This window comes from Homo sapiens, chromosome 13, assembly GCF_000001405.40.
Source record: "Homo sapiens chromosome 13, GRCh38.p14 Primary Assembly".
NCBI classification, from domain to species: Eukaryota; Metazoa; Chordata; class Mammalia; order Primates; family Hominidae; genus Homo; species Homo sapiens.
Window position 1 is genome coordinate 37,479,515 of NC_000013.11, and position 12,653 is coordinate 37,492,167.

The following is a 12,653-nucleotide window of genomic DNA, read 5'->3' on the forward strand; positions in this document are numbered from 1 at the left end:
GATATCTCTGCACATTTTATATACTTTTCTACCTTCATTACTTTGTTCAACTTTTTTCCTTCCTCTGGAAAACCTCTCTCCTCCCATGTCTGTTTTCTCAAATTGTAACTACATTGGGCCCAGATCACATACAGTCCCTGAAACTGACTATGACTTTTCAAGTTTCTGCTCTTCTTTAGTGGCTTTAATGATATGTCTCTTGATGACACCCAGAACTTCCTGTATTCTATATTAATGATTTGTGTACATGAAGACTTTCTCCTGAGAGACTATAGCTCCTTGAAAACAGATAGGAGACTCCTTTATTTCGTATTTGTGATTGAGAAATACTTATTTTCTTTCCTAGAGTGCCCAAATACTCAATAAATATCTAATAGATGACGGAAATGCTCTTTGAGTAGATGGATGAGAAAAGAAATGAGGGAGGGCATTTTTAAATAGAATTTGAGAGTGTTTTGAGCTGATCATCTTGTTTTTCTCTCTGAAGCAGTTATGAGATTGTTACTGTTGGGAAAGAAGAAAGATAAAGGAGAAAAAAATCTTAGGCAATACATGAACAGTTTTAAGAACAGATGTAGCTTGTGGCCACATTATATTTAATAAGATAATAACAGTAAATTCTGCTTTCCCATGTGGTTGGAAATGGAAATGGGCCAGGTCAACTCGGTATATAAATTTTTTTCCAGCAACATTTTGCTCTTTAGGCTCAGAATTTGAGGCAGTGCATGGTAGAAAAAGCCTGTAAGTTTAATTCAAAAACTGTTTTGCCATACTTGAAAAATAGTTTTTGTAAAGGCTTAAAATAATTGCAGACAAATAATACAGGGGAATATGTAATACAGCCAGGGACCAAAATAATATAAATGATTCCATTAAAAAAAAAAACTCTCACAATTGTCAAATAGACAATGGATGCTGCATTTGACAGTGTGAATCTATATAGCTGTCTTCTCTCTATGTACTTAGAAAATGGTCAGAGTATATAGTGAGCTGTTCAGATCAGGCAGGGAGCCAAGTTAAATTATTATCATTAGGAAAACAAAGTCCTTGAACAGAGGAAGATAATGATCTCTTCTGGAGAATCAAGGTGATATTTGATAAATTGTGTCACACTCTTTCTTTTTTCCTCTTTTTTTTTTTTTTTTTTTTTTTGAGACAGAGTCTCGCTCTGTCACCCAGGCTGGAGTGCGGTGGCATGATCTTGGCTCACTGCGACCTCTGCCTCCTGGGTTCAAGCAATTCTCCTGCCTCGGCCTCCTAAGTAGCTGGGATTGCAGGTGCCTATCACCACTCCCAGCTAATTTTTGTATTTTTAGTAGAGACGGGGTTTCACCATGTAGGCCAGACAAGGGCCGCTTTTGAATCATGGGACTAGTTTTAAGTAGAAAAGATATTCAATAGAAAGTTTAGTAAATAAAGAACGGACAAGGAGAAACACAGCTAAATAGAAAATAACAAAAGGGAAAAGCTAGAAAAATATCTTAGGTACCTATACTAAAGATTTGGTTTCTGATAGTTCTTTAAGAAGGATGAAACATCAGGAGAAAGATGCCTGCACTAGGCTGAGATTCAAGAGACCTTGGCTTTTGTCCCTGGTAAAACTTGGCAAAATGTCTCATGTGATTCTGTGATCATGTCTCTGAACTGACTCAGGTCCAGCACTCAGACTCTCCCTCAGGCCCATTTACATCTCCTTTTTCTTTGTGTACCCCAGTAATAGAATCCATTGGGTAACATTGAAGCAATGACTTCAGTTTTCAGCTTGAAGGTCCAGATGGTTTAGCCAAAGTGCAAGTCAGTTCCTGAGAGCAATAACAACATGAGGTTATCAGAACTGTGTATGCCGTGACTCTCAGATGTCTGAAGGCTATCATGCGAAACCTGGCTGTTCGTGGAAAGAATTAGTACATGGCTACAGCTACTTAAAACATTGACCTAAAATAACAGAGTTTCAAACAAAATAGAGTTTTATTTCCTTCCCATGTAAAAGTCGGAGGAGAGAAATTCTACTCAGCCATCAGATACCTAGGCAATTGCATCATGCGCTGCACCATCTCTCCAGTGCTGTTCTCATCCTTGTGGTTTTCCAGGGCTTGTCACCACATCCATTTTTCAGGTAGCAGGATGGAGCAAGGAAAAGGAGATGATACATCTCTTCCACTTTAAGTTTCAGACATCTCATTAGCCAGAACTTGGTCACGTGCCACATCCATCTGCAAGGTAAACAGAAATATAGTCTCCATCCTGAGAGGTCATGTGATCTAGATAAAAACTCTATTACTATGAAAGGAAAGAATGGACTAATGAGGTAAACAAGTGTTTCCGTGGAAACATGGCCACCCATGCATGAGCACACACTCCCTTCCTGTATCTCTCTCTTTTTACCAGTGTAATTTTCAATAAAACCACACTCCAGTCATTTGTTAAAAAGTGCATGTTAGTATTCTCACTATATAGACATTCTCAATGTTTCATTTGGCCAATTTATTAAAGTCAGCATTTGAGGCAGGCCATATGGGTGTGTTTAGCTGCAGTGAATCAGTCATTTTGACTAAAGGAAATGTTTTTGGAAGGACATTGCAGAGAGAGCCCAGCGTGGGCTCAAAGTGATGAATGCTTTGTTTTGCAGACTACATTAGACCAGGTGATTTTGGGGGTGAAGAAGTAAGGTGGGGAAAATCAAGTATTCTAATTAGACAGCTGATGATGGATTATAAATTGTAAATAATTCTCTTAAATAGGCAAAGAGAAAAGGCTTTTCTTGATAGAATCAGGAACTAACACAGTCCCAATAGCAACTGATAATGATTAAACTGACTGGGGAATGATTAGGAGACATAAAAGGGAATATACAAAAATACTGGAAAGAAGCATCCATCATTAGCTAGGAGAATAACCTGAAAACCATGGCAATAATAAAAGAAAAAAACAAGTGCTTCACTAAAGAGTCTGAGGTTGGCACAAATACCAAAGTATTCTCCAGAAACTTCAACCCAATAGTATGCACTGATGAAGTGATATTCCATCCCATACATTTCACAACATTTTAATGTTCTCTTATTTCCGCATTAGAAAATAAGAATATCCATATTCGGAACAACTGTTCATCCTGAGTCTAGTCATATTTTTGGCAATTATATTCAGCAACATTTTTAGGAGAATGTTATATTTCACCATGATATCAAAAGCTGGAGATTATTTAAATTCTTCTCAACTCAAATCCTGTATACCTCTGAACATTTAGAAAGAGCTCTTTTTCTTGCCAGTGAAAGCACCTGAGAAAATAAGGCCCTTTGATTTTTTTATATGGGCCTTTCCAAATATTCTACTGCACATGACATTTTATTAAATCTGGGTTCTCTAAAAAGGAACTTTATAAATATTCACACAAAGATACCTTTCATTCCTTGTACAACCATGTGTACATTGTATACCTATGTGTTTGTCCATGTGTGCGGATGCCATGCAAGAGAGAAACTTAACTAATTGTTTAATGATTGTTCCACACAAACTTTGCTGAAAGTACATATAAGTGCTGGTTTCACAGATTGTCTAATGAGTTGGTTTTTGTTTAATTATAGAAAGCAATTAAGTCTGCTGTGACATTTGAAGAAAGCCAGCAGGGTTTTCTTCTCAGATGTTTTCAGTTTTAAAGTCCAAAGAACTAGAATGAGAGTTGTGTTTGTCTCCAGCTATGAGTATTTCAAATGAGCTGTAAGTAAATAATATTTTGTGATGAGATTTTCTAATAAGCAGTAATTAAGATTTTCTTACTTATTTCTTAAATGATGACAGACACAGCTCACTCCAATTCTAGTTTGGTTTAACTCTGTGTGTGTGAAATACATTTTTATTTTTCATATTTTTAAGGCACAACTATTTACTATCAGCATTTTGTTATTTATACATCTTTTTAGTCAAAATTTTATAACAGTGGCCACATAATTTTTTGGAATAAAGTCGTAGTCAATTTTTTTAAAGAGGCATTTAAGGGTTCACTGTGGATTATAATCTATTTCTGGAAGCACTCAGCTGGAAAAAAAGAAGTGAAAGCAATTTCAAGTTTTGACCAGCATCTTTAAAATATAAGAACATCATTTCCCAGGGAAACAATGAAAGCAACAAATGGTAATGTCATTTAAAAAAAAATTCAGGTCAGGCGGTGGCTCACGCCTGTAATCCCAACACTTTGGGAGGCTGAGGCGGGTGGATCATGAGGTCAGAACCTCGAGGCCATCCTGGCCAACATGGTGAAATCTCGTCTCTACTAAAAATACAAAAATTAGCCAGGCTTGATGGGAGGTGCCTGTAATCCCAGCTACTTGGGAGGCTGAGGCAGGAGAATTGCTTGAACCTGGGAGATGGAGGTTACAGTGAGCCGAGATCATGCCACTGCACTCCAGCCTGGGTGACAGAGCAAGACTCTATAAAAAAAAATAAATAAATAATTGGAGGACTTCCACAAACATTTAAATGATCAGAATCAACTTTGAAATATGTTATTTAACTAAGTCTGTTTTACCTTCAAAATGAACCAAGTTAGTATGATATAATTTATGAGTAAAATCTGTTGAAATCTTGAGCTTTATGTAATAAGAGTTTGAGAAAGCACAAGAATGAGGCAGCAAGAATGAACAAGCCATGAAAAAGCACAGCCTCAGTTTTGTAGGTTGATTTGCTTCATGGGCCAAAACTGCTTTCAGAAAATATTCTGACATTAGCAAGAATGCTTTAAGAACAGAGATTTTTGTCTACTGCATTCATACTTACCAAATCAGCCACTTGCAATGCTGTGTTGAGAAGCAGTAAAAATAAGCCGGGATTAGGAGTCTTAACGACTGTCTCACTCCCTTTTCTTCTTTTTGGCCCTCTGAAGTCACTAGTGTATACAAACAAAAACTTAGAAAGAAAAAAATCTCAAATACAGTGTTGCCCAACAAATGCAGTGTCCTCACCTCCTCACTCTTCAGAAAGCCCTCTGATCACCTCTGCTCACAAGTGCTACTTTGGGAAGGGTGGCTCTCATGACACCTAGGCAGGGGACAGGCCATGTTTAGCAAACACTAGTTCTTTCCTGTTACAAATCCTAAAACCACAATACCCATCTGTATGAGTCCGTTTTCACACTGCTGATAAAGACATACCTGAGACTCGATAATTTATAAGGAAAAAGAGGTTTCATGAACTCACAATTCTATGTGGCTGGGGAGGCCTCACAATCATGATGGAAGGTGAAAGCCATGTCTCACATGGTGACAGACAAGAGAAAAGAGCTTGTGCAGGGAAACTCCCCTTTATAAAAACCATCAGATCTCATGAGACTTATTCACTATTATGAGAACAGCACAGGAAAGACCCACCCTCATGATTCCATTACCTCCCACCGGGTCCCTCCCACCACATGTGGGAATTCAAAATGAGATTTGGGTGGGGACACAGCCAAACCATATCACCATCCCTATATGTATTTGTCATTGAATTGCTGATTCTTTGGTCAAAATTACCTAATATTACCTTTTTTCCTGATACTTGATTTTGAAATAAGTCCTATGAATCTGTAAGGCATCAGTTCTTTACTTGAGAGCCACCTGCTTGTTTCCTGATTGCAGAATAATGCAGCAAAATTATACAGGATGGAATCCCCTCAAAGACAATGCCTCTGGAGAGAGATCCAGCAACTTACAGGAATGGGTCCACCTAGTTCAGGGCAGCCTATATTTGTGGAAAACCATACAGCCTATATTTGTGGTAAACCATAAAGAACTTCACTCCAAACATATGGATAATTAATGTGTTTGAAATGAGAAAGAGGATGCAAGTCTGTAAGGTGATCATATTAGCAACATGGTTTTCAGAGAAAGAATGTGCACCCTAGCTCCTTTGGAAGGAGTTGCTTGACATTTCCCAGTATCTGAAATCAAAGTGCGGATGCCCTGCCCAATCCCCCTCAGAGGAGCACCTTTGCAGCTGATCACTGCCAGCCAGGAGCAGCCTTGTGTGTTCTGTGTGTGCAAGGTCAGGAAAAAGTTTGAAAACATAGCTATGAAGTAATAGAATATCTCTGTCAAAAAAGAAGTAGGGTCACTTATGATTGGAAATGTTTGAGCTGTAGAAACTGTTGAAAAACTAAAGGATACTGCTTTTGTTTTTGAGTTATCACTCTTTTCTTGTCCTCAAAACAGAATGGAATATAGACACCTATGTGGGTGCACACACACACTCTCACACGCACGCATGTACACACACATCTTTCCTCTCTCACCAGAAAAAAATGTTGTGTTGGAGAATAATGCAAACAGGCAAGGAACAAGCAGACTTTAGACAAGACATTCATTTATTGTTACAAAGTGATTTGTGGCTACTCATTGCCAAATGACTGGAGCATGCAGTAATGGAAACCTGGGAATTAAAAAAAAACAAAACCTCAAAACACCAAAACTTACTGCCAACTCCACTGGTCAACAATACACTTAATATCTCAATCCCCTACTCCCTATCAAATAAACAACCTTTGACTCAGAAGCCTCCTTTATATCTTTGAACATGGAAAAACAATGGGCTTTGCTGTTTTATTGGTGTTTAATTCCCAAGCACTTGTCCTTACTTAGGGATGGGGTTGCTCATGCAATTTAAATGTCCTCACATAAGTAGATTTTTGGCGATTGCTCCTGCACTTTTCATTTCAGTCAGCTGAGCAGGGTTTCTACATCCTATTTGCCTCCCTCGGAGAAGAGGAAATTTCTGCAAATTATTTTCTGTTTATTCTTGTGGTAAGGTAATTCACTTCCTCTAAGGCTCGACCTTCGGATTTGAAAACGAAGTGAAAGTGAGTGTGAATACTGATATGACATCAATGTTTTGGAGATTGAGGGAAATTTCCCTTTGGCCAGTGGCTGATTTAAAGATGTAAAGAGTCCTATGTGGGGCATACTGAGTCCTGCCAAACCGACCTTCCCGTTCAGATGGTTTGGAAACTAGGCTGTGCCACATGCTATCTAATTTAGAGGTTTCTCTTAATCCTGCTATTTCCTATCATACATCAGGGGCTTTCACAACATAGCACATGTGTCTGGGAAAAACTGTAAGTGAAACAACCAGGGCAAATCTAAAGACCTAAGAGAATGGTGAGCAACTTTTTATTTTTTCATCCTGCCCAATATCTTAAGTGCCTCTCCACCAAGAAAACCCCCCAAAAACCAAAAAAAAAAAACAATAAAAAAGATTAGCTGTCCACTTTGACCACTTTTTTTCACTCAAAATGAATCATGGAATTCCACAGATTAATTGTGAATTCTTATATCTTAGGCTGCCTTCATTGAATAGACAGATTTTAAAGGAAAAATTGGCACTCACTCAAACAATAAAATGGTAGTATTAAGGAACCTTTAAGAATTAGGATCCGGGAGGCAATGTTCCATTATTTCATCATTTAAATTTATTTGGGTTTTTGGGAATGTATGAGTGAGTTTACACCCACTTTCATTTCATTTCCGAATTTGAAGATTGAGCTTTACAAAGAGGTAGTGACTTACCTCAACTCACACAATGAACTTCCCCAAAGAGGTGTGGTTGGAATTAGAGCTTGTTCTACCCACGCCAGTGTTCACATAGCAAGTGTGCTCTCTAATAGCTGATATTCATATAGTGTTCGGTAACGGCCAGTTTCCACATACATCTTTTCTTTTAATCACACTCATATTGTGTGACAAGCATATTCTCTTTTTATGGACTAGAGACCGTAGATTACAGGCTACTGCAAAGCAGGGATCTTGTCTACTTTGTGCACCATGCTATTCATATGGCCTGCTGTGTTGTAAGTGCTGGACAAGTAAATGAGGGAGAACTTGTCCCACAGTTCAGAAGGGGTGCTGTGGCCTTCTATCTATAAATTGTTATTAGACCTCTGCTCAAACATTTTCAGTGATGAGAAATTCATTGCCTTCCAAAGCAGCCATGGTACATATCCTTTCTTATTTTAGTTTAGTTTAGTTTAGTTTTGCCTGTTTGTTTTTGCTTCACAGCTCCTCATTGCCTTCTCTTCTACTCAGAGTGGTTCTGTTGATGTCAGTTATGGTTGCCGGGCTCTTAGGGGCAGACGCATAGCCTAGGGTAGGCCTTTCACAGCATCCATCCCCCATCTACAGTCACTGGTCCAAGAAGTGACCACTTTGGGAACCAGTCATGGTTCTCCATCACACCTGTCAAGTGGAAGATGAAGGAGAAAGGGCCACTTTCTTCTTTTCTGATTGCAAACTCTGGTAAACCCAGTGCTTCCAGAGGCCCTCTTTGCTCTTGTGTATCAAGAGACTGCCTGAGAAAGAAACCAAACACAAGACAAAAACCAAACAGAAATGGACAGCATGATGGCAGCTATTGAAACCTCTAAATCCTCTGTTCCTAGAGCTAGCTCCACCTTTGGGTTTCTCAATTGTGTGGTTAATACCTTTCTCTTTTTTTCTCTTTTTGTTTTACTACTTATAAGCAAAAGAGGTCTAACATGACTACCCATTCCATGATGACACAGTTTGGACTTTTGAAACATTCTTATGTGGATCCCAGATCCCCTTTATAGAGACAAGAAGAACAGGTGTAACTCTTTCATGTAACAGTGTTTCTGACACTTGGAGAAAACTACCCTCTCTTTTCCTCAGCTTTTGCTTAAGTCTTCTGTCCAGGTTCTGCACCCTATTTTGTCAACTTCCCTTCATGTGATGTAGTGTCCCACACCATCTTAGTTGCTAACATTTCATTACATCTCCATTTGCCCACAGCTATCTTAATATGAGGGAAGATTAACACAATGTTCAGCAACATAACATAGGATAATAATTTTCTTTCTTTCATACATTGTAATTTTTCACTGCTCCTGAAGGTCTCATTGGCCTTTTTAAATATTATAATACATAATTGACTTGAAATACAAGTGTTATGAATTGAAACTCTCAAGCTTGACACATTTTTTGATAATAAAGTATGTCTCCCATAACTTTTAATAATTTTGTTCTTTTTAACTGATTTTACCTTTATTTCAAATTAACTTCCATTTATAGGTAGAAATGTTCCATATTTTATACTCATTGGTTTTTATGTTGGGTCTATCAGAAAATGAATTTGCTATTTCCTTTCATTTTATATTTTCAGAAAGCTATGTTTAAAGCTTGTGTTTTTAAAATTTTTATTTATTTATTTACTTGTGATAGCATCAAGGAAGTTAAACATTTCTATGGCAGAATGCTATTTGGAAGTCCAGGATAGTTACTTAATAGTTTTCTTACATGAATGTAGTGTCTATTTATTTGTGGATCTTTTACTTTCCTAAATCTTTATTCATCTTGAAGCTCTGGTGACTATTAGTATAAAGAATGTGATTTTCATTCAGTTCCTGTCTGAGACACTAGAAAAAAAATGGTTTCTTTGCTTCATTTGCCAAATATTCTGCACAGTGCTTATTTTGTATTTTTTCCCATATTAAGTGTAATACAAGACTCATTGGCACATTATAAATAAGAAATTAATGCTGAAAAGGAAGCCACTTCCAAAAGCAGCATTTCCCCAGGAAATAAAGAAGAGGTGAGATCAGTACCCCCAGAGAGTCTACAACTGTCTTCTGTCTGTTCCCCTTCTTCTTTTACAGGATAAAATGAAAATTGAGAAAGAATTCAGATAATTGAGACTAAAACGTGCTGCCTTAGTTATTTCAATTTCTCATACAAAATGTATGCTTGGCTTGAGGTATATTATTATCTTCCATGTTTTAGTTATAGTCTTACTGAATTGTACAAGAAGGAAAAAGGTTAAAAAATTAAAGTGGATTGCATGTATATGTGTGTGCCTAAAGGCATATTGATAACATAGAAACATAAATATGTTATAGAAAAATTATACCATGAGGATCAATTAATGTATCAAAGGGAAGGTAATGTTATGATGATTGATCAGATTCATTTCACTGTGACCCAGATTAAAGCTTTTTACTATTAACCCGTGGCTTCTGCATTTACTGGGGTGGATTTTTCCTTTTTGTATAGCTGGATAGGAACATTTTCATGTCTTTTCACTTTAAATTTGCTCAAACAAAGCACTAAACCAAAAATGATACAGATTTAAATGAAGATTCTGTAGGAGAAAGAGAGAGGGTGAAACCATGTACCACAAAACCTTGTCCTCATTAAATATTTTTATTTTCTGCAAGTTCTCACTGCCATCATAACAAAACTGCTGGTTTTCGTTATCCTCCCTTTGGTCACTCTGTATCCCTTCTTACTGGATCCTTTATTTTGTCATTCTTATTTTTCCTCAGAACCTCAAATCCTCCATCTTTTCATATACAGGGCAATTTCTTCACAGCCTTTTGTTAGTCAGGAAGTCCTTTTCATCATAATTGGTTTATTTTAGCTTCGAAATCTTTCCTCTAAATATGCACAAGGCTTTCTCTGAAAGGGACTTTGTTTTATTTTTCCATCTTGTTACAATTTCCTCCATCACAGTACATAATTCTGTAGTTGAGGATAGTTGTGAATAACAATTCAGAAAGCAGGAATTGAAGCCTATTTCTCCAAACTCATTGATATTATTATCCTGTAACTAAACTCTAAGAATTTTAAGAAATGTATCTCTATGGGGTCACCTATAGCAGTAAAACATCAATCATCAATAACTTTTATGTAGGCTTTGCTTAATACATTGTAAACTTTGATCTCATATTATTTTCTAGGTATAAGGGTTAAAAATAAGTGCCAGTCTAGATTTTGCTGAAAATAACTTCTGTTTTAATATCCTGTGATTTTCACCACAATCATTCCCTTCATTGCCAAACAATGAATTGGCAAGGATTCTTGTTCAATTGAGGTTTAATGGAAACTGGTTGCCTTAAGAAGAAATTGACTTATGTGCATGATGTGTTCATTTGCAGGCAGCTTCAAAGATCACCAACTGTAAGAAACAGGAAGAGACTTTGAAGTAGATAACTTCTTGTGTTTTTTTCACATATTCCCTGGTGGAATTTTAGTTTTGTATCATGCTTTTCCAAGTTTTTCTCCAGATGTTGTATAGTTTTTTGTTTTTGTTTTTTTTTTTTTTTTTCCCGGAAAAGTTTAGACATCTTGTACACAGACATCAAGATCTAAAAACGGAGGCGCCAGCTCTATTTTACAAAAATATCTGATAGTATCTTATTGAAGAATGTTGGAATCATTCAAGCGACTGCTTCTATCCAGTTTCCACGCTGTCTGAAGATCCTCCTTGAAATCCCATGTAACCTTTAGTATAATGCCCACGTTAAGAAAAGTGGGTCAGTGATTAAAGACATATTGAATCATGTTTCTGGCTTTTTGTGTTTATAAATTATGTATATAATTATAAATATAGTATTTATATAAAAATATAAATGTATACATGTTTATATTTATTATAAATTATTATAAATAATCAGTAAAACATCAGTGGACCAAACATTCTCTGTACAATTAATTACGCAGATAATAGAGTACCTAAGAATCTCTTAAAAAATGAGTGTAACATATGTTTGTTTAGTACACAGTCTGTAGAAGAGAGTTGTTGGTAATGTACTGTGGACTGGGGTCATATTGCCGGTTCCCATGCATTTTCCTTGGAAGATAAAGACAGCGATCAGGTTTCAAGTCATTCAAGACAGAGACACAAGCAAAGGCACAGATATTTGAAGGTAAATAAATAGGCAAATTTGACTAAGGAGGATGCTATGCTAGTATTTGTTATAGTATTAGTGTTAATATAAGGTTAATGCATGTTAGTTAGAAAGAAATAATGCAAAATTAATCTTCTTCCTCTCCCATTTGAACTATATAATTAAATAGTACATTCATCTTAATATTCAGGTAATATTTAACCAACTCAGGTTAGTCATATTAATAAACCTATCACAAGCTGAAAACAAAATCAAGAGAAATCAAAACATTGACTTTTAACTCCAATCTTATAATTACTTTAAAATATTCAAACAGGAGGCTTTGGGAAAGAGAGTGACTTGTATTTAAATGGGCATAGTAAGAGTGAAAGAAACAGAGAGTACTGCTCTGCCCCAGGCACTGTGCCAGTCATCATGCCCACACTAACTAGCTTACCACCTGATTTAGAAGCCGCATTAACCAACATGAATGGGTTCTTACCCTTGGTGCCTACCTTTGCCTTGCCAGGACATGATGGACAGGGCCCTGGGAAGCCTCTGAGAAGAAAGTGAGGACACAACACACAGTTCGCTTTGAAACTATAGACAAGGTGTAGCATATGGCTTTGATTTATTAGTATATGCTTGTAGTCAGTGGCTTCGGGTTTTAGAGAGGACACTTTCGAATGTATTTCTGTGCTGATTCCAAGGTGTTTTCAATTAATGCCCTGAAAAGCTTTCAGTTTCTCATTTACTTGGCTGATGGATGGCTCCTTAGATGTATATTGGCTCTTGAAGGGTTTCTCTGTCTCTGAACAAGGGTGAAATTAAAGAAGCATTTTGTAAAGTGGAACTTTTGCCCTGGCAGGAGGAACCAGACATTTCCACAAATAAACACATGCATCTGTGAATCTGTAAATAGATTGATTATTATTTTTTCTGTCAAGTGATTAAGAGCCTAGGGCTAGTTAATTAGCAGCTAATGAGAGAGAGAGTGTGTGTGTGTGTG

The 12,653-nt window shown here is 36.9% G+C and overlaps 2 long non-coding RNA genes across 2 annotated transcripts in view; one reads left to right on the plus strand and one right to left on the minus strand.

The window, feature by feature from the left end:
* LOC124903159 (uncharacterized) overlaps positions 1 to 11,319 on the plus strand; it is a 128,664-nt gene extending 117,345 nt beyond the window's left edge. The window contains exon 4 of the long non-coding RNA XR_007063761.1: positions 10,913 to 11,319. This is a non-coding gene — a long non-coding RNA (uncharacterized LOC124903159). The remainder of the gene's footprint in view (positions 1 to 10,912) is intronic.
* On the minus strand, positions 1,950 to 5,270 carry LINC01048 (long intergenic non-protein coding RNA 1048). Its single transcript, NR_125762.1, has 4 exons — positions 5,191 to 5,270; positions 4,956 to 5,031; positions 4,771 to 4,879; positions 1,950 to 2,213 (listed from the first exon to the last, which is right to left on the minus strand). It is a non-coding gene; the product is annotated as a long intergenic non-protein coding RNA 1048 (long non-coding RNA).
* Positions 11,320 to 12,653: the final 1,334 nt, after the last annotated feature.